This window comes from Homo sapiens, chromosome 16, assembly GCF_000001405.40.
Source record: "Homo sapiens chromosome 16, GRCh38.p14 Primary Assembly".
Taxonomy (NCBI): domain Eukaryota; kingdom Metazoa; phylum Chordata; class Mammalia; order Primates; family Hominidae; genus Homo; species Homo sapiens.
In genome coordinates, this window is record NC_000016.10 from 33107318 (window position 1) to 33131137 (window position 23820).

Here is a 23820-nt window from a genome sequence, read left to right on the forward strand (position 1 = left end):
ACATGGCGAAGCCCCATCTCTACTAAAAATACAAAAATTAGCCAGGTGTGGTGGTGTGTGACTGTAATCCCAGCTACTCGGGAGGCTGAGGCACGAGAAGCGCTTGAACCCGGGAGGTGGAGGTTGCAGTGAGCCGAGATTGTGCCACTGCGCTCCAGCCTGAGTGACAGAGTGAGATTCCGTCTCAAAAAAATAAAATAAAAAATAAAGAGAAAGGGACTTGAATAGACACTTCTCCGAAGAAGATATACAAATGGCCAACAAGCACAAACATGTAAAGAAGCTCAATGTCATTCATCATTAGTGAAATGCAAATCAAAATCACAATGAGATAGCACTTCACACCCACTAGGATGGCCTTAATCCAAAAAAAAAAAGAAAACCACAAAAAATAGTGTTGGCAGGGAAGTAGAGAAACTTGGACCCTGGAATCCTGCCCCCTGGTGGTGGGAATGTAAAAATGATATGGCACTGTGGAAAAGTTTGGTAGTCTCTTAGTAAGTTACACATAGTTGTACCATATGACCCTGTAATTCCAGTCCTAGGTGTATAATCAAAAGAACTAGAAACAAGTGTTCAAACAAGTATTTGTATATAAATGTTGCTAGCAACACTATTCACAAAAGTCAAAAGGCAAAACCAACCCAAATGTCCATCAACAGATAAATGAATAAACAAAATGTTATATATTCATACAATGGAAATCTTTTTCAGCCATAAAAATAAAGTACTGATATATACCAAATGAAATAACCCAGACACAAAGGCCACAAATGGTATGATTCCATTTATATGAAATATCCAGGATATGCAAATCCATAGACAGAGAAAGCAGATTTGTGACTACCAGGGGCTGGAGAGCAGGTGAGTCAGGACTGATGGCTAAATGGGGTGCATTTATAGTGATGAAAAAGTTCTACAACCAGACAGTGGTGATGACTCTAGAAAATTGTGAATGTATTTAATACTGCTGAATTGCGACGTTAAAATGCTACACTTTCTGCTATTTGTGTCTTACCATAATTTACAAAAAGCTTAAAAAAAAAAAAGAAATCAAAGCAAAATCTTGACGTTTTCCCAAAGGCTCTCAAGCCAGTGCAGACCTACCAATCAGGCGCAGTGCCGTCTGAGTGAGGGCCAGCGTGCCGGAATTGAGCAGGAGGTCGAGGTTGTTTGCGCTGTGCTGCAGGGTGAGCATGCTGAGCATCATCAGGAGGAAGCGGGCTTGCGGGATGCTCCCCAGGCTCGGTCCCAATGGGTTCTCACTGGTGATGGTCTGCAGGGGAACCGGCTGGATACCTAATAAGCATTGACACCCACTTACATTTCTTGTGATGGATACAAGAATAAACATAACGCAGAAAGCACGGGCTATTACTTTAAACATCTGACTAATAAGCATTGACACCCACTGACATTTCTTGTGCGTGGATACAAGAATAAAAGTAACACAGAAAGCACGGGCAATTACTCTAAACATCTGACTATTTTTCAGTGGTTTCCACAGAGTGGGCAGCTCTGTCATGCTGCACGATGGGCCTAACCCCTGTATTCTATGCACAGGTCGTTCCATCTGTCTACAGGACTTAGCATGTTGCTCTCTGAATACACTGGTGCCCTATTCCATTCCTTCCATTTCAAATATAAAAGTTATGTCTCACTTTTCCTCCACAAAACCAATCCAATCAACTCTCTGTAGATGCTCAGACTATCCAGGAAATAAATATTAATATAAGACACAGACACTTAGGATATGTGGTGATACACATATAAATGTCAAAATGTAAAAATGTTATACTAGAGTACTTCAACATTGTATCTCCTGCTAAATTTTAAAGTTTTGTTTAAAATCTGAGAAAGCTGACAGCAGCATAGATTATACAAGTACAAAGTACAAACTTATTACAGTCTTCTCAAAAGCAAAAATTGGCATTTGCAAGTTTCCACAACACATAATTAAAGGCAAACTATAAAATAACATTGATGCAATTGTTGACTCACCAAGCTCTTTAAATTTGGCACTGGCATCCATCAGAACATTTAGAATGTTCTGAACAGTCCAAGCATACAGCTTGCCAAAGGTGACTTCCAGCAGCATCCGATTAAAAGGTGGGATCAAATCAACATCCTTTAAACAATCAGTAAGAGGTTCCCTTTCAAATAAAGATAAAGAATTTGACTCGGGACACTGCCAGACTTCTAACTGTTACAGAACAACATTCTGTTGCCACAGCTTCCTTAGTTAAGAAAAAAATATGCTAACGTTTTACCCTATATCGATTCCTTCAGGAATAAGTCTTTGCCATCCACAAAACATCGCTTACTGCACAGATGGAAGTAAGAAATTCTTGCTCGCCAGATACAATTTCAAAATTGTATCTATCCCTTCCAGGCGAACCTCTGCTCTCTCCAACTGCAAAATATCAATGCATATACAGTTAAGTGTTATGTATATTACCCACTGCAGAGAAGCATTTCTCATCAAATGTTATCTGTTTTAGTAGGCACTATCTCATTTTTTCCACATCCACTGGCTCTTCTTTAAGGGCAAATTCAGCAATTGTACTGAGGAGTGGAGACTGCGGATAAAGATCCTGAACATTCTGCTTCAACCACTTGTATCTGTGAACCCCTGTAACAGTACTCAACAGTGGCTGCCATTTGTCCTAACAAAGGAAAACAATTTTCATCATTAGTCTACCCTATTTAATATTAAACTGTGCTCTAAAAGTTATTCAAGTAAAATATAAATAATGCTCATAGGTTTAAATTGGTTAAAATATGTTAAATTTAGTAATTAATACATGGTTTTAAAACTATGCTATAAATATAAGTGAACTTATCTCTATACTAATATATGTTGGAACAGGCTAGCTTGGCATACGAAGTTAAGTTGTGGTTCATATTAATAGCCACAGGGCCCAGCACTGTTTCTGGAACAAAGAATATATTTAAGGAATGAATGGTGAATAATTAATGATACAATCTAGTACCAAAAATAAAAGGAAACCCTTCTCCAGCTACAGCTCTGACCAGGACATCATAAGTCAAGTTCATGAACCATCACTGGGGCCGTATTTCTAACAACCGCCCGTCCCTCCCTCCGGATGCTCAGGTACAGAGGTACAAGACTGTGGATTCCTTTGCTACATGCTATGATTCTATTCAGCTAACCTCAGAATCACAGAAAACACTGCACCTTGGGTGATTTAATTGCAATGGGTCTCTTGTCCACATTTATTGGACTATGAGGCAAAATGCAGGCTTCTTCTAAATCACTCTCTTCGTTTCCAATTTTTTCTTCATCAGCCGTAGATTCTGGCTTCTTAGGAACTGTGTTTTAAAACATCATTCACTATAAAAAATCATACACTTAAATATTAATTTTAAATTAGGAAATACTTAGATTTACATGAAAGACAAATATTTCATTCAAATAAACATCTGAACAACATTATAAATTGCAAGGCTCAAACAACAAGAGTGAAATGATCACCATGGCAGAACAAAATGACAAAGTGAGAGTGTGACAAGGGGAGAAGCCCCGAAGCAGGGGAAGCCCAGCAGCCAGCAAGCTCTTCCTCAAGTGCCAGAGAGTGAACATTTGAGTCTTTCAGGCCACGCAGTCTGTTGGAAATACTCAACTCTGCTGCTGTAGCACAAAAAGTAACCACAGATAAAGCAACAGGTGTGGCTGTGCTCCCGTAAAACTTTATGGTGCTACAATTTTCTGTACTCTTACACAGCTACTTCCAGGAAAATGTCAGTAACTCTTTCAGCTTCCCTTTATAATTCTCCATGTATCAGAATACTCAATATTTCCAAACAAAAAACATTTCTTTAGAAGAATGGCAATAAGTTTAAATGTTCCCATTATATCTCATTACCAGGATAACTAATAAAATAAAAATACGTCCTTGTTCCCATCAATTTAGCAAAGATTATTTACATTTTCAACATCAATTTACTAGTAATCAAATCATACCACACTCAATTCCTAAACTGCCTCATTGTCTGATCGGTTGAAAAAATAGGAGAGATTTCCGTATTTAATCATAACTATACATAAAAATGATGGCAGCAGGTAGAAATGTCACATGGAATCAACAGTAGAGAAACTTCACTCTGAAATCACAGGTCCAGCGAGGCAGGGTGAAGCACATGCTTTAATAGTATCTTCTGTCCTTTTACATTCTTACTTCTCTTTTTCCTCCGTTCCCGAATTATCTTCTGAGCTATCCTCCTCCAACGGGGCAAAGAACTTAACAATTTAAACTCAGAGATTATAGAGAGGTCATTACCAACAGCAGGTCTCAATTCATTAGAGAGGAATCTCAAACGTTCGATGACAGGAGTGCAGACCTCCTTGTAAGAACGGCCCTGTTCTTGATGAGTCTGCAAAGTTAACCAGGAAAAGACAACTTTAACAACAAATATTTCTGCAACTGTCTGCAAAGCACAGAATAAAAAGAATTAAAATATATCACCTTAATGAGCGAACATTTTGCTTGGTAGACAACTCTACAAACATCCACCACTGACTTAGGCAACGTTCTGTGCTTTATTTGCTCAATATCAAGTGCACCTGCATGAACTAAAGATAATGCCACATGACCTGCAAAAAGACATTTAAAAGAAGGACAGGGAAGGAATGAATATGTACCACAGGTTAGTCGAGGAATCTGCAGTCTAGCTAAAGTACACAGATATTGAGCTCCTTACCTAAATCTTCATGTTTTAAGAAGCAACATAACAGCAAGCGACCGACCTCTTCCACGGGGTGCTCGGGGGGAAACATGATCGGTGTGGTCAAATGGCACTGCCTACAGTACCTTTCTATTTGACACAAAAAGCCCTGCAACAGAAACAGCTGGAGGTAACTTCAGGGCCGGCCAGTGAGTCTTCACAAATCTTAAACATGCCACAGCTTCTGATGCACTTGCAATCAGTAATGCTTCCGAAGCCTTGCTAGCATGTTAACACAATCAGGTTCTCACCTCAAAACCCTCCAAATAATACATGAAACAAAGTCTGTGCTATGTTAACCAAAGAGCACCTAAGTATTCCTATGTCAAAGTCCTCAGATAAACAGAGCACTGAGGTGACAGTGGGGACAGGCCTAGCTCACCTTCACGTTGTGATCCTGAATGTTATTGTCTGCAATGACTTGCAGAAATGCCTGAGAATGGTCCCCCAGGGCCCATCTGTGGGAGCAGTGGTGATTTGCTGGCAGGTGTGCCCACTGGGAGCTGCAGTGGTCCTCATCTTTCTCCTCGTTGTAGCTGTAGTGGATCTGGCTGGTCTGCAGCCTCCAGAGAAGATGGATGACTGAAGCCATTCTAGAAAATGCACACGCAAACATGAAAGAGAAACTCAAGTGCACAACTCAAAATAAATACTAAAAAAAAAAAAAGATGCTCAACTGAACACTCAATTTAGAAGGTAAAATTCAGCATCATTCATATGAAAGAGCTCCACCTAACATGTTTACACAGGTTGACTTGTAATTCCTCTATCTACGTGAATACACTTTCTGGTGATTCCACACACCTCAGGCACGGCATCAGAACTCAGGATTGTAGTTCCAGTCCAAAATTCTCTGGATACCTGTGCTCTGCCTGCAGCTGCCTGGTTCCACAGATACCGTGTGAAGACTGAGTTGCACACTCTAACAAGGAAGGCAGCAAAGGGCACCGCTGACACAACTAATCACAGGATTTCAAGTCCAAAACTGTGCAACGGATGACTATGGGGGTACCAGGGAGACCGGAGGACAGACCACCGCTATTCTGAGGGTCAGTAAGGGACTTGTGGAAGCAACAACTGAGCTAAGATGAGGAATAAGACCCAGACGCTGAGTATCCAGGCAGGGAACAGCATATCTGAAGGGTTTCTACAAAGAATTACATCCTCAGGGTAGGCTATGTATTCCTAGAGCACTTATAAAGGAATGAAAAGGAGAAAATATTTAACAAACACACAATCTTTAATGAAGGATAGATCCTTGGAGACGGGAGGGCCGATGGACTGGAAAGGAGACCTGTGCATGGTGCAAGGCATGGGATCAGCCAGTGCAAATGTTAATTACAACTGCTTATGGTCACTTGAGGGAGCGGCACATACACACAAAATTAGGATGTGCACCACTACAGATCTCTATTAACGATCTGTGTTATCAAATACTGCTCCAAATCCAAGCAATCAAAGCGGGGATGCACTTACTGTTCTTTTACTGGACATTTAGATTTTTAGAGCACTCAGGAGCATTCCCCAACCCACCACATTCGTTCTTCTGAAACACTAATCCAATGCCAACTCTCTCTGGCCCCCTTTCTTTAAGCACAGGACAGCCCCTCCTTACTGCTCCAAGATAAGCCTCTGATCCTCCTGTGGCTCGGACCCACCTGCCAGGGCTCATGGCACCCTCTGCTCTGGAGCTCGCCAGCCCTGCCCTCCTTGTCAATTTAAACAAAGCCCATCTTCTGGCAAGCAATGAGCCTTGAGGAGGAGGGAGGGAAGCAGACACCTCAGAGGGCACCACAGGCAGTCCAGCACCCAGCACTGCACAAAGGTCCACCCAACGGGGGGCTGTGTGGACACCAAGATCCTCCTTTCCCGCAAGCCTCTCCCACAACCACTCTCGCAAGCAGCAGGAAAGCCCTGCTCCTCTCAGCATTGCCCTTGACACTCCTGTGTTTTCTGCCCAGAATGCTCCCTCATGCAATTTCAGGACTGCTGCCGGTGTGAAGCCTTTCTTCTCCCAGAACCACGTATGAACGTCTCCATTTCACCATTCACCACCTTGTAACGTGACCTGCTTAGAATGCTGGCTCATCAACAAGCAGCAACTGAAAGCAGAGGCGTGTCCTATCCATCACTGCATCCTGAACACCTCGCATGGTAACGGCACCAGGCAACTGCTCAACAGAAGCTGCTCACACGGACGGACAGATAGACAGATGGGAAATGCACGACTACATGAAGGAAAATGTAAACCCATCTTAGGAGACAGGAAAAAGCTTATTATTTTAGGTGGTTACAAAGGCTGCCATCCTGGAATATAACTGACTTGAGCCTGGTCTGGTAAAAACGCAGTCCTCAAATAGAACGCTGTTCCCTGAGAGAACAGCTGATCCACATTCTGTGCAATTTCTGGGCATGCAGGGAGACAAAAGCCATGCTGGGCCCATCAGGCAGAGGCTGCAATACGTGAGACCACCACAGGGTAGACGGGTAGACACTCCTGCACACTTTTTAGCTTCCTCTGCAGCAACAGACCATGAGGGCAAATGACAGCCACTCACAGCTGTTTCTACCTGATTGAGTCTCACTATCCTTATTATTATTTTTTGTAGCATCATCAACTGTGTTGAATCCTCCTCTTTTTTTTTGAGACGGAGTCTCGCTCTTGTCACCCAGACTGGAGCGCAGTGGTGCGATCTTGGCTCACTGCAACCTCTGTCTCCTGGGTTCAAGCAATTCTCCTACCTCAGCCTCCCGAGTAACCGGGATTACAAGCACCCGTCACCACGCCCAGCTAATTTTTGCATTTTTAGTAGACATGGGGTTTCACCACATTGGCCAGGCTGGTCTCGAACTCCTGACCTCAGGTGATCCACCCGCCTCAGCCTCCCAAAGTGCTGGGATTACAGGCATGAGCCACCGCCTGGCCATCTCCTACTTTTTTAAAGAGAGAGTCTTGCTCTGTCACCCCGGCTGGAGTGCCGTGGTATGATCATGACTCACTGCAACCTCAACCTCCCAGGCTTAAGCGATCCTCCTACCTCAGGCTCCTGAGTATCTGGGACTACAAGTACATGCCACCATGCCTGGCTAATTTTTGTGTTTTTTGTAGAGATGGGGTTTTGCCGTGTTGCCCAGGCTGGTCTCAAACTCTTGACCTCAAGCAATCCACATGCCTCAACCTCCCAAAGTGCTGGGATTACAGGCATGAACCACTGTGCCTGGCCCTCTCCCACTCTTAATGGCACTTACAGTTCAAAAAAAATAATCTGCTAATCAGCAAAAAGCAAAGATTTTCTTACTGGCACATTCAATCTCGACAGGAGACAGCGGTGTGCTCATTGCTAAATAGGAAGTGTGTAATCCGAGAAGCAGGCCCAGATTCCTCTCTGTGTCTATCAGAGGTGAAGAGAGACTTCCCGGATCTGGTATGGTGACAACTTCTTGGTCAGGCTGGAAAAATAAACTTCATCATCAATCTGAGGAAACAGAATTAATTAAAAACATAAAACCAAAAGGACAGCTCTGTCCTGCAGCTGTACCGCCATGTGAGCCCAGGGGTGCCCTGGGTGTTCTGCCCCTCCATCCTGTAATGAGTTGATGCTGCTGTGCCCAAGTAACAGCAGATACCACATAAACCCACATGCCCTATAAAGCTGGCAGCAACCGTACACGCAGAAAAACTAAAGCACAGATACATGATTTGGCTAGAATATTCCTTAGGAATCAGTTTCCAAAGTGACTGTACACCATGCTTCAGAAAGTATAATGAATTGTTACATGCATAAAGAACCCACTGGGCAACAAAACTATGACAAGTATTCGATGACAAGTATTAGTGGACTGTGACCACACAGGTAGAGGAAATGAAATTTATTCTAACAAAAATCAAACTCTGAAAAAAGCAAGAGTTCAACTTTTCCAGTCACAGAAGATATTTACAGCAAAGTTAATTCTCCCCTTCATAAAATGCTTTAAGCCCTGCCCTAATGGCATTTAATACATTTTATTACTTGTGGATAGCTGGAAAGCTAATCCCAGTATATAAATTCTATGTGTTCGTGAATACATAGGAAGGACATATTTCTATTGTAAAGAATTACACTTCTACATAGTTCTTCCCAAAAAATACATACCTCAATATAATAAGCCATTCCAAATTTCTACATAAGACCAAAGTTTAACCTCTTTTCTTGTGGAACACTGTCTATATTTCTCACAAATTGATCATTTAAAAAACAATCTTTCAAGACCAGTACATCACAGATCCTAACACGAATAAATGTAAATTCATTTATGACAAAACTTCTAAAGGATCTTTATATTATCCCTAATGCCCCCCAAAAGACCCAGATATCAGTACTTCTAGATCCAAATATTCCTATCACAAACACACAGAGGGTGTCCCCTGCCATCCTCTGCATCACTCAAGGCATACAGCCTCACCTCCAAATATTGGCCAACACAAAATGCGTGCATGGATTCCCGGGTGACTTCAAACTCGAAAGCAGCTTCCAAAGCTACCACTGGGTTTTCCCCTGCAAACTGAGCTGAAAGAAAAAGGGAAAAAGCAACAGGAGTTCAATTCAGCTTGCCTGAAGAGCTATAGGAGAAACAGTGAGTAGGAAATAAGTTAGGCGCTTAACTCAAAAGTGAGGGTTACCAGAGTATAATGACCTCCCACTGTCTCCCAGGGTTGCCTGGGCCAACTCAGAACTTGAAATGAGTTCCAAGTATTAAAACAAAAAATGCATAATGAAAGGAAATTCTTCAAATGTGCTGAATTTGTTGATAAGACAGACACCAAAGCCACAGATACATTAAAATATGCGGGGGCTGGCACAAAACTAAAGAAATCATTTATAAGCCAAATACTCTGCTTAAAATGATACAGGCTGTAACTTTTAACCAGGAAATAAGAAGGGTAATCTTACCAAGAATACTATTTCCTGTTAACGACTGTGTCTGGAAGTCCTTTATATCATACACTTTCTCATCAATCACAATCCAGAAGCCTCCATCTTTATTATGGTTCTCCAAATCAGCTTTGCATATAAGTGTCACTTCCTCATTATTTCTACAGTTCTGACCTGTAAAAAAATGACTCTCTGTATACAGAAACCAGAATCAGTCCATTGATCAATCAACAGGTAAAATGAAAAGAACAAACTGTGTGAAAGAACTACAAGCAGAAATAAACAAATCCACAATCACAATGGGAGAAATACATACCTAGCTCTGAAACTAATACCACACATACAAATTCTATTAAATATAGAATGCTTTAAAAAAAATCTAGGCAGCATGAATATCAAATCAGGCCATGCCAGGCCATAGAACAAATCTCAACAGATTTCAAAGAAATAAAGTTACACAGCATGTGTGCTGACTACAATGCAGTTAAATTAGAAATAGGTTTTCAAAAGTTCATTCAAAATAAAATAAAAATGACTCTGTATATACAGAAAATGAAAATATTCATCCACATATTTGAAAATTACAAAATACACTTATAAGTAACCCAAAATTCTAAGAAAAAATGACTATGAAAATTAGAAAATGAGTTCAATTAATAATCAAAATATTGCAGATCAAAATTGGTGACATACAACTAAATGCATGCTTGAGGGCATTTACGCCTTTAAATGTGTATATTAGGGGGAAAAAGCTAAAAAAGAAAAGAAACACCAAATCAATAGAAGTCTATTAGTTCATAAAAATACTCAAAAAAAAAGAAAACCTGAGTGGTGGTCACCTATGCAAGTGCTAGGATACCAACTCAATATTATGAAAAATAGTTAAAGGGAGGTGGCAGTTCAAGAAGTCAAGCTTAGATTATGTCCTTCCTGTACAAATTGTACCTCCTGCTAACCAGACAGCAGAGGGCAAGGTTGGTAGGGGATTTTATAGAGGACACGCAACACATGAATTCCCTGGTCTAGCTTCACAGAACTAAAGCGGGGAGCCACTGAGCATTACAGGCCTCCTGAGCCAACAGAAAGCATGCAGCATGACTCCAGACATAACACCACCCCAACGAGACTGAATTCAAATCCAACCAAACCTCTAGATCTAACCAGCAGATTAATGTAACTAACAGAAGAATATGTTGGTCTAGAATAAGAGAATGCAATCAACCAAGTTCAGAAAATGTGAAGTTCTCCAAAATAACCAACTTGCTTCTTTGAAAAAGAAAATGGTATGATCAGAGACAGGGAGAGGAGGGCCTGGAGCCATGTTGTTTGGGGAAAGAGACTAGAAGCATATGTCAACCAATGCCAATACACAGAACATATTCAGGTCCTAATTCAAAATTACCACCTAAAAAAGGCATTTTTGAGATAGTCCAGGAAAATGTAACATGGACTACATGTTAGATTAAGGAATCACTGTTAATCTTATAGACAGGATAATGATATTGTAGGGTTTTTCTTAAATCCTTATCATTAAGAGGTAAAATGCCTTAAAATGTTTTAAAGACAGAGTTATGCTTTAAAATAATCCAATTGGCCGGGCACAGTGGCTCATGCCTGTAATCCCAGCACTTTTGGAGGCCGAGGCAGGCAGATCACGAAGTCAGGAGATCGAGACCATCCTGGCTAACATGGTGAAACCCCATCTCCTACCACGCCGTATTACCGCATTTAACAGGTATGATGAAGCAACTGAACAGGCTATTTTTCCATTTCCATTGCATTTCAACAGAACCCATTAAAAAGTAGTATAAATGGCCCTTAAATACTAATATATTTTAAAATGCTCAAACTATATCAGGGTCACCATTTTGTGCTTTAGCAGGCAAAATCCCAAAAGCCCACACACAAGGCTGGGAGACCAGCATCCCTATTGGTGGTGAGAGAAATCAAGATGTACAGGAGCGATCTGGTGACAACCAGCCCACACTAGGTGCATCCCCACCTGTGCATGTGCACAGGCACACACGCGTGCACACATGGAGGACACATGTTCCAGGTCAGGCCTTGCAGCACTATTTGTGTTTTTTGTTATTGTTGTTGTTGTTTTTTGAGACAGTTTCACTCTTGTTGCCCAGGCTAAGGTGCAGTGGCGCAATCTCGGCTCACTGCAACATCTGCCTCCCAGGTTCAAGCGATTCTCCTGCCTCAGCCTCCCGAGTAGCTGGGATTACAGGCATGTGCCACCATGCCCCACTAACTTTTGTATTTTTTAGTAGAGACGGGGTTTCTCCAAGTTGGCCAGGCTGATCATCTCAAACTCCAAACCTCAGGTGATCCACCTACCCTGGCCTCCCAAAGTGCTGGGATTACAGGCATGAGCCACCACAACCGACCCTCAGCACTATTTGTGTAGCAACACTGTGGCAATAAGCCCAAGTGTCCACCAATAAGAGACTCACTGAAGAATGATACATAAAAGACATATCTACACACTGAAGACTAAGCTGCTTTATAAAAACAAAGAGCGACACTCTGATAAAGTACTCCAGTATATATGGCTAGTAAAAAAAAAAACAAGCAACACAAGTAATGCAACATGCTACCACTAGCATACTCATTCCAGAGAACAAGGAGGTTACAGAGGAGACTGAAAAGCCAGAGAGAGCAGGTAGGAAAATGGGTGGAAGGGGTGGGCAGGGGAAGTGACAGTGTGTCTCTGCCTAGGTTTGATTTTTGAACCATGTGACTGTATTCCTCTTTTTTTTTTAACGACTGTAAAACAAAATAAACACTCTTCATACTAGAAATAAAATGTTAGAAAAATCTGGATTCAAAACTAGGATTACTGTTATACACTGGCAAAGTTCACTAACATTCCCAAAGGCAGTTTTCTCATTGACATAATGAGATACAACAGCGTGTATGAGGTCCTCAGTGGGCCTGCACCCTACAGGTGCTCCACACATGCAAATCACTACTATTACCATTACTATTACATAACAGATATAATATATAATTATACTGTCACTACTATAACCAGCATTACATACTAAGACAGCCCACGTTCAGAGTATAAAGAAGGCTGTGGAACCCTCTGTAGAAGGTGGGAGGGCCTGGGGCTGTGGGTAAAGGGGAGCTCTCTGGGGCTGTGCCACCTGAACCTGGAACCTGGGCCCCCAGGTTGGGTCCCCAGGCCTGTGCGCCTCAGCTTGCTCATCATTCACTCTCAACACGGATAACACCTTCAACTGCAAACACGTTTAAAAACCACAGGCCAGCTCCCCCTACCAATACCAGAAAAAGCAAGTCTCCACACGGGCCCAGGATGAGAACCTACAAGTGGTACTAGCTACAAAACCCATGGAGAACACGGTTCTTGCACACACACCTTATGAGACGTCGGACAGCTACACGGCAGAGGCATCTACAGGGTGTAGCCAGATCTTCTAAATGGGCCATGACAACAACCGCCGTTTGTTGCAGATCAATGGCAAGCTCGTTGTCTTGTGGAGGGTGAGGTACCTCAGGAAACTCACTGGGGCTCAGAGGGCCAGACAAAAGCTAGAAAGGAAAGGTAAACAAACATTCAGAAATGGTGGGAAAAATTAAAGTAATACAGTTAGCCTTTACCCACTCTTTATATTTTGGTATTGACTCATTTGACCCATCAAATGACAATGTCGATGATACAGTTATACTATACATCTATATATTTATGTAGCATACAAACTGACTGTATAAATGTCTAAATGTGCTGTACACATGTACACAACATTGACTGTGCATGTATACATTTATGACACCACAGGTAAGTTGAATCCACACAGATTACTAACATGACCAAACCACCCTACAGGCCTAGGACCCCTGGAGAAAGGCAGAACCACCTCTGTGGGAACCCAGAACAGCATCTCAAGCTGGCCTTGAAATCTAAAACCAAAACCTTTATTTTAATCTAAACATTGCCCACTCTGGAGAACACCTACTTTCATTTGCAAATTAAATCATAGTTCTAATTCTTCTAAAGGCAGAAGAGCCCTATTATCATTAGTTTAAAGACTAACAAATAATAGAAAAATTAAACCAAAGCATGATATTGAAATGCCTAAGACTTTCCCAAAAAGATGCAAAATTCAACTTGTACTTGACCTGTAAAGACCAGCACTCCTGGAGGTTTACACCCAGGGCCCCACATGCCTGCTCCTCCCCCAGCTCGGCGTCCACACCTGTTAAGGGGGGAGCTGGTACTAAACAGAGTGACAGCTCAGATGACATGCCCTGCACAGAGCCCAGTACATAGGAAGGGCCAACAAAGAAAGCCACTATTTTCGTTGTTCTTTTCTAGTATTGATTTAAAAGTGCGTGTTTCAAGCTTGGTTCTGTGCTGACAAGGAAGTCGGTGCTCACTGATCCAAGTCTTCTCCACAAACAAGTGGCCTCCCACACCTGTCTCATCTGACTCGCTGCTGTTACCACCAAATACACACACGCCAGAGAAAAACACTGCCGTGGACACACACACTGGTCTTGCGTAAAAAATAACTAGACTTGAGTACCACCTAAACACAACGTTCCATCATGACACTCACGTGCATGTTGCCCTCGGAGGGGGGCGTATCCTTACCACAAATGATGCTCTGGAACGTTTGCAGCAAGGGCAAAAGCAAGGTGCTGGTGCCCTGGGCAGAACGCTCATTGTCAGTTTCCTGTGCCCTGCTGTCCCACAGCTGAAGCAACAACAGGATGGCAGACAACATTTGGCTAAAGGAGAAAACACATTTATTCCTAGTAAAAACAGATTAACTTTTTTTTTCATGGTTGATCAAAAATAAAAGCAAACAGCTAGATAGAAGTGAAGCAATACTTGGGATATGAAAGGAAATGAAAGTAAAGCCGTGGTAATTAAATCACTGAATTGACACTAAGATTTTAGCACAAGTCATCGCCTTCTGCTGATAGGAAAGACCAGTTAAGAAGCTCAAAGAGCACATTCACATGGAAGTTCTAGGATCTTAAATTCATGGAATAAAAATAATTAAATGAGGAAAACTGAAAGAAAAAAAAAAAAAAGAACAGTTCCCAGGCTAGAAAACTGAGCATAAAAAAGGAAGTGAAGAAAAGGTAAAGAGAGAGCGAGCTCTGGGACATGGTGCTCTCTGCTGCAGTCAAACACGATTCAGTGAAATGCACACAATGCAACAGGTATTTGGATACAGAGGCGCTTCCCCAAAGCGTTCCCATTCTGCACAAGCCCTCACCTCAGCGTGCCTCTCTGCACAGCCAGCTCCAGCAGGATGGCCAGAGCCAAGTGCTGGTCCTGCAGGGGCATGCTTCTGGCCTTTTGGTGCCTGGCGTTCTGTGAACATCCCTGAAATGAAAACAGTGGATGCAGGAACACAGCGACCTCCAGAAAGACAGTATGCTTACAATCACACTAACATGTTTACTACATGCTCCCTCCCAAGGAAGGATATATTCTTAATATTTAGAACCAAGTTTCTGAGACTTGCTACTCAAATTTTTCAGAGATTTTTAAAGTATACAATTAACTTACAGAAATGTATTTTATTTAAAGTATTCATTCAGATACCGTATTACAGTAGATGACATACTCCAAGTGTGTGAAGCATAAAATATCTCATTATCCAAAACATGAGTAGAAGAATATCTAGCTACCTTTTCCAGTTTCAATGACGTGTAAGCCTATACCAGTATCAACCTTCTCCTACAGAATTAGAGAACCAATTTCTAAAACCACCTGAGGATCTGGAGGCAAAATGTCTATACTAATTTCTATCTCTGATCAAAGATTACCTGGTTGCTTACTCCCATACCCAGCTCTCCAGAATTGACTTGGCCCTATATACAGGTGCAGGAGTTTCATCTTTTTTCTCTTTGTCATCCAGATCTTCTTTCTTTGTTCCACTTGGTTTGACACTATCATCTGCAGAATTAAAATTTTTTTAATCTGTAACCGCTTTTCAGAATGCCATACCATTAGTCAGTCTCTGCAAATGTCCCTCCCTGAAAAGTTACAACACACATCATTAACTGAATGTTTGACAACTCAAAAATAAAATATATCAATCATACCTGTAACAGATCCAGTATAATTTTCATAAACAAACCAATATATCGGCCGGGAGTGGTGGCTTATGCCTGTAATCCCAGCACTCTAAGAGGCCAAGGCCGGTGGATCACGAGGTCAGAAGATGGAGACCATCTTGGCTGACACAGTGAAACCCCGTCTCTACTGAAAATACAAAAAATTGGCCAGGTATGATGGTGGACACCTATAGTTCCAGGTACTCGGGACGCTGAGGCAGGACAATGGCATGAACCCGGGAGGCGGAGCTTGCGGTAAGCCGAGATGGCACCACTGCACTCTAGCCTGGGCAACAGAGCAAGACTCCATCTGAAAAAAAAAAAGAAAAGAAAAGAAAAGAAAAGAAACCAATATATCAAATTATTTAAAGCATGTCTTCCAAAATGATATTTCATTAACTTCCTAGTAGATTTCACAACTGAGAAACTTAGTATTTGATATTTACCTACTTCAATTTCACACGAATTGCTTCCATCCATTGAGTCCCAATGCTTGCGTACCCATGGGAAAAGGGAGGGTGTAGAAAAGGAGTATGATTCAAAAATCTTTTAACCCTTTCCAAGGCCCTACTCCACTGCCAACTGGCAAGCACTGCTATGCAGGGGCGCTGTCACTGATAGCATAATTCAAGAGCACTGGGACACAAAGGAAAAGCTGGGAAAAATGACTTTAGGCCACTGACAATGTAACGTTTCAGTCAAAAACAACTGTCATAAAACTCCTGACATAGTAAGCGAAGAGAAGAGAGAACTAACCTTAACCTTGAAGTGTAAACACGGTCCATCACAGAAGGCTGTGACTAAACGTCTAAACAACATAATTAGAAAAATGTACCTCAATCGGTGAAAGACATGATATCCCATCCAGATTATAAATAATGAGTATCTAAAAATCCCTAAGGAAACAGTTCCTCTGTTTACAACACTTCTGACGCCAAATGTATGGACTTTTGCACCAAGCAATTCTCCAGTTCTTTGCGACACCCAGCTATGTGTCCCACAATGCAATTCAATTCTGAAACTAACTACCTAGAATTAGCACAGACCCCACAGGTTAATAACAGGAGAGAAAAGGTACAATGCTGGAAAAAAAATCTAAAGAACTAATAGCTGAAAACTTCCTAGGTTCAGCAAATGACAGAAACCTAGGCAGATTGAAGAATCTGTGCAAAGCCCAAACAAGATAAATCCAAAGGAAGCCATGATGAGGCACATCATAATCAACTGCTAAACACTAAGGACAAAACCTTTTGAAAAGTGCCACAGAAAGTAGATACAGAGGAATGTCTTGTGTGGCCTGAAATTAAGACTAAATATTATGTGCTGCCTTGACGTCAGTAAAATCAAGAAGGCCTCAAATAGCCTAACCACAAGGTCTCCTCCAAGCTCTGCTCCCACGGATAAGATCCCAGAGCCAAACAACCCTCCTTATCGCGGAGACCCGACCCCAGCCTGCTCATCCCTGCTGGTCCAGAGTTATTCCAACAAGCCAATCACATCTTCCCACGGAAGCAAGGTCATTTCACCCTCTTCTTACTACAAAATGTGCCTCCCACAGCCCCTCGTGGTTCACTCTGTTCCCAAGTGCAGCCCCCGTGTGACATGCGGTGTCCCCCACCCCCAGGGCTGTGAGCATGCGTGACTAATAAACTGCTATTTCATCTGTCCAGTGTTGGTGTCTTATGTTCAGCCATCCCATATCCCTAAGGCAGGAATCTTTTAGGATTATAAACAGAACTTTAATCAACCTCTCCTTGGTTATTTTACTGGTTCCATGATACAGCTTTTTCTGTGCAAAAGATCTGAACAGAAACTTCACAAAGGATACAAGAGTGGCAAAGAAGAACATGATATTCAGCATTGTTAGCCATTATGGAAATGCAAATTTAAACCACAATGAGATCCCACTAGACGTGTTAGAATGGCTCAACTAAAAAACACTGATAACACCAAGTGCTAACAAAGACACAGAGCAACAGAAACGTGACAGATTACCAGCAGGAATGCAAACTAAAACAGCCACTTCGGAAAACAGTTCAGCACATGACCCAATTTTCACACTACTAGGTCTTTATCCTAGGGAAATGGAAACTATATTCACACAAAATCTGTACAGAAATGCTCACAGCAGGATTACAATTGTGAAAGAAAAACGGAAACAACCACAAGGTCCTACAATAGCAGAATGGATAAACACAATGTGGTACATCCAAATGATGAAACACCATTCATCAATAAAAAGAACTATTAATACACAGAACAACAATATATCTCAAACATATAACTAGGAGTAAATGAAGATGGTTTCAAAACGTTACTTAAAATATGGTTCCACTCACATGACATTCTCAAAAAGAATACCCTATACTGATGGAGAACAGATCAGTGGTTGCCAGGGTATGAGGCCAGGGGATATGTGATAAAAAGCAGCACCTTAAGGGAGCTTTTGGGGTGATGAAACTTCTCCATCCTGATGATGGCGGGGGTTAAATGAATCTATAGGGTCAAAATTTACTGAACTAGATACCACAATAAAATAAATTTCATGTAAGTTTTTTAATAAAAAAAAAGTTGGCTGGGTGCGGTGGCTCACACCTATAATCCCAGCATTTTGGGAGGCCGAGGCGAGCAGATCACAAGGTCAGGATTTCGAGACCAGCCTGGCCAACATGGTGAAACACCGTCTCTACTAAAAATGCAAAAATTAGCCAGGTGTGGTGGCATGCACCTGTAATCCCAGCTACTTGGGAGCCTGAGGCAGGAGAATTGCTTAAACCTGGAAGGCGGAGGTTGCAGTGAGCCAAGATCGCCACTGCACTCCAGCCTGGACCGCCAAGTAAAACGTCATCTCAAAAACAAAAAACAAACAAACAAACAAAAAAACAAAGAAAATATCTAGGTCCAGGTAGGACAGTTGGAATACAGTCCAGTGGAATCATGTCAGAGCAGGGAGCTGGGTCTGGAAGGCTGGAGCAGGGCGTGGCCCCACTCTAGGAAGGAACTAGGAAACGCATCCTGGGTGAAGCAAGAGCAGAGTCCCGTTCTGCAACAGATGAGCCTTTATCCTGATCTGAGAAACTATATGCAAATTTAATACATCTCACTTAGCCTCTTATTTTCCTTAACAACATGGAAAATGAGAGAACAAACAATTCAGAAGGTTAAGACATGAAATACATTTCATTCAGAAATCATACACAGAAAGGTAGGAAATAAATGGGGGAAAATAGCAGCTAATGAAAAGTGAAAATGGGCCAGGGCAGTGGCTCACACCTACAATCCCAGCACGCTGGGAGGCTGAGGCGGGCGGATCACTTGAGGTCAGGAGTTTCAGACAAGCTTGGCCAACATGGTGAAACTCCAACTCTACTAAAAATACAAAAATTGGCCCAGCATGGTGGCAGCCACCTGTAATCCCAGCAGCTTGAGAGGCTGAGGCAGGAGAATTGCTTGAACCCAGGAGGCAAAGGTTGCAGTGAGCCAAGATAATGCCACAGTACTCCAGCCTGGGCAACAGAGCAAGACCCTGTCTCAGAAAATAAAATAAAATATTCATAGTCTTAATAATGGAAAATAAAAACATTTACTGAATGCCAAAAAATCTCCCTAAAAACCCCAATCAGTTGGGATCTACATAAAGAACAATTATGCTCTGCTTTCTAACCACAATTTTTAAAAGAACAAAGGACAAAAATATCCATCAAACGTGGGCCGGGTGCGGAGGCTCACGCCTATAATCCTAACACTTTGGGAGGCCGTGGCAGGTGGATCATGAGGTCAGGAGTTCAAGACCAGCCTGGCCAATATGGCGAAACTCCGTCTCTACTAAAAATACAAAAATTAGCTGGGCGTGGTGGAGGGTGCATGTAATCCTAGCTACTCAGGAGGCTAAGGCAGAGAACTGCTTGAACCCGGGAGGCGGAGGTTGCAGTGAGCCAAGATCATGCCACTGCACTCCAGCCTGAGCAACACAGCAAGGCTCCCTCTTGAGAGGAAAAAGAAGCAAACAACAAATTCATCAAATGTAATAAATAAAACATATACTTTGGATTTTTCCATGTGCTTAGCTTTTCTTAGAGCATCTTTTAGAATTATTGTTTCACAAAAAAACACTTTGGGAAATGTTTTAATTTATTAACAAATACTAGGGCTAGGAAGAGAGCTTAAAACTTTTTAAAATATACAGAATGAATTACAGATACGTGAAAGAAAAAAAAAAAAAAAGATTGCTGACTCCTGTCATGGAAGGCCCTATCATATGGACATTCTTAGCCTCAGCATCCGGAGGTCCAGAAAGGGACAATTTCGAGTCAGAGAGAATTCTATATATACCATTTATTTGGAACCTTCAGCCCTTAAGATTCCAACATCATGACCTCAGTTTCAACACAATTGTCCTTAGACCTTGTATTGCATACAAATACAAAACAAACACCTCGACTGAACTAACTCTTGTCTCTCCAAAAACACAAACACAAGACCTCATAAAATGAGTGCGTTTCTATTGGCCATAATTACTGCAACTTACTTCTCCAACTTTCCCCTGCACAGTTAACTAAACAGCTCAAAAACTATCAGTAACAAATAACAGTCACCATCATATGGTTAGGAGTGTGGCAGATTTCTTAACCAGTAATAAAAAAATAGGAAAAAATTTTTGCCTATTCATAGATCTCAAGTTTCGTGCACTTGCAAGAAACTAATTAAAAGGCAGCCGTGCACGATCTACAAAAACAGCCATAAAGACTGTTACATTTTAAGTTACAGGAAACAAACCTGCTCCTCTACTATAGCAAGAAACAACTGACTTCCCCTTACATACCCTAAAAAAAAAAAGACTTACACGAGAAATTTAAACATGGAAGCAGAAATACACCAAGAAAGAGACATGTCAAACCCCACCTGTATATCTGTTTTCAACCATTTGGAGTCAAGGCGAGCCTGGGCAGCCAAACACAAATATTCAGAGGGCATCTTTTCTCCAGCTTCCTCCCAGTTCTCAGGCCTGCAAGTAAACATACATGTTGAAGACCTAACGCTTTTTAATATTTTACAAAGACACTCCCGAAAAGTTTAATGCAGAAAAAAAAGAACAGAAAGATGGGAGAGAAGAGCTCGGGGAAGGGAATGAAGAGGAAAGAGAGATAGAGGGAAGAGATGGAGGGAGAGGGAGGTGGGGAAGGGAAAGCCTCCTTCCTAGATAGGCAAGGTATGCCGGGTTTCTGCACCACGCTGGCGAGACCTTGAGAATGGACTGTCACAGGAGGCCAAATCACAATGTCATACCCCTGCCCTCAAATCCAAAAGGTACACACACACATGACAGGAAGCCCATCATTTTTTGTTTTGTTTTGTTTGAGATGGAGTCTCCCTCTGTCGCCCAGGCTGGAGTGCAGTGGCGGGATCTCAGTTCACTGCAAGCTCCGCCTCCCGGGTTCATGCCATTCTCCTGCCTCAGCCTCCCGAGTAGCCTGGAGTACCAGCGCCCGCCACCAGCCCGACTAATTTTTTTTTTTGTATTTTCAGTAGAGACGGGGTTTCACCATGTTAGCCAGGATGATCTCGATCTCCTGACTTCATGATCCTCCCGCCTCGGCCTCCCAAAGTGCTGGAATTACAGGCTTGAGCCACCGCGCCCTGCCAGGAAGCCCATCGTTTGAACGACAAATGACAGCAGCGTGAATCTGCCGCTTTACCCAACAGCAGGGCGCCTGCATGAAACAAATTACTCAAAAGGCTCACCTGCAGAAAAACCCACAGCCACCACCACTTAGAGATAGAGAGAGGCAGGGGGCTGCGCCGCGGGCGGTCCGCGCAGCAACCCCCCCCCCCCGCCCCCCCACCCCTTGTGCCTCCCGCCAACCCCGCACCGCCTCCGACGCCGGACGCCCCGGTGCCCCAGGCCAGGACCTGAGGCGCAGGGCCCGGCCTCCTCGCCCCGCAGGCGTGCGCACACAGCCTCCCAGCAGCCGCTGGCTCAGCCGGCGCCCGCGATCCCGACGCCTCTCGCTACCCGAGGGGCGTGCCCGCGCGGGACTGCCGCCCCCTCCACCGACCCGCGCTTACCGCCAATCGCAAGGCGGCTCTGCGGGCGCAGCCAATGGGGAAGAGGAGCCCTTCCCTGCTCCTCCTGACTCTCCCGCTTCCCGCAATCCCGTTTATCTTCCTACTTGGAGCTCACCCACTGCAGCCAGGGCCAACCGCCGGCGCCGGAAGGCGGGATTTCCGCGGCACGCACGCACGCCCGCACTCCCACGGGAGTCAGTTTCTCACCAGCTGAATTATTTGAATTTAGCACCACTAAAAGTGGAGCAATCAGGTACGGAGTGCCTCCAGAGCTGATGTAGCAGAAATCACTGACACCATCTTTTTTTTTTTTTTTTTTTTTTGAGACAGTCTCATTGCGTCGCGGAGGCTGGACTGCAGTGGCATGATATCAGCTCACTGCAACCTCCACCTCCCGGGTTTAGGTGCCTCAGCTTTCCGAGTAGCTGGGATTACAGGCATCTGCCACCCACCCGGCTAATTTTTGTATTTTCAGTAGGAACGGAGTTTCATCACAAACTGCTGACCTCTGGTGATCCGCCCGCCTCAGCCTACCAAAGTTCTGGGATTACAGGTGTGAGCCGCCGTGCCCGGCCTATTTCAGATATTTTAAATATTAAAAAGTAGAACCTGGCCAGGTGTGGCTCACACCTGTAGTCCCAGCACTTTGGGAGGCTGAAGTGGGAGGATCGTTTGAGCCTAGGAGTTCAAGACCAGCCTGGACAACATAACAATACCCTGTCTGTTCAAAAAATAAAATTAGCCAGGTGAGGTGGCACGTGCCTGTGGTCCCAGCTACTCGGGAAGCTGAGGCAGGAGAATTGCTTGAACCCACGAGGTGGAGGTTGCAGTGAACCAAGATCGTGCTACTGCACTCCAGCCTGGGAGACAGAGCCAGACTCCGTCTCAAAATAATAATAATAATAATAAGCTTGGGCGGTGGAGGGCTCCCCCAGGCATTGGCCACCTGTGGAGTGACCTGGCTTTTGGCTCCCTGGCAGCCAACTTCTGGGTCGGGCATCTTCGTTGGTGACTGCCCCTTCAGCTCTCCTGGTGTGGCTGTGAGTGGTATGGCACTGCTGTGACCCATCATCTTGTCTTAAAGAGGCATCCTGACATCTCCACACTTGCACACTGAAGAACGCAACATCATGATTAACTTTTTAAAGGAATATTACAAAAATCACAGCATCCGAAAATTTTTTGGTCATTGCAATGATCTTGATCAGGCAATGAGAAAATAAATCCTTGAAGAATGAGTACATGGAAAAGAGGACCAAGAGCAGAGACTATGGCAATTTGATGCAAGAGACTTTTTTTTTTTTTTTTTTGAGACGGAGTCTTGCTCTGTCACCAGAGCAAGTGCAGTGGCTCAATCTTGGCTTATTGCAACCTCCGCCTCCTGGGTTCAAGCAATTCTTCTGCCTCAGCCTCCCACATAGCTGGGACTACAGGTGTGTGCCACCATACCCAGCTAATTTTTGTATTTTTAGTAGAGACAGGATTTCACCGTGTTGGCTATGGCCAGGATGGTCTCGATCTCCTGACCTTGTGATCTGCCCACCTCAGCCTCCCAAAGTGCTGAGATTACAGGTGTGAGCCACCGTGTCCAGCCGCAAAAGAGACTTTTTAATTCTCCAGAGGAATCTGAAAAATAAATTGTATTTTCACTGGATGCCTTGGCTGAGAGAAGACTGAAAGACTATGGGTTGGCCCGGGCACGGTAGCTCACGTCTGTAATCCCAGCACTCTGGGAGGCCGAGGCGGGTGGATCACCTGAGGTCAGGAGTTCGAGACCAGCCTGACCAATATGGTGAAACGCTGTCTTTACCAAAAATACAAAAATTAGCCAGGCATGGTGGCGTGGGCCTGTAATCCCAGCTACTCGGGAGGCTGAAGCAGGACAATCTCTTGAACCCGGGAGGCAGAGGTTGCAGTAAGCCAAGATGGCGCCACTGCACTCCAGCCTGGGCCACAGAGCGAGACTCTGTCTCAAAAAAAAAAAAAAAAA

At 43.3% G+C, this 23820-nt stretch overlaps 2 pseudogenes; one reads left to right on the top strand and one right to left on the bottom strand.

The window, feature by feature from the left end:
• Positions 1–20772, bottom strand: part of HERC2P8 (HERC2 pseudogene 8) — a 33058-nt pseudogene extending 12286 nt beyond the window's left edge.
• On the top strand, positions 21865–23467 carry LOC107987232 (COX assembly mitochondrial protein 2 homolog; annotated as a pseudogene).
• The last annotated feature ends 353 nt before the right edge of the window (positions 23468–23820 follow it).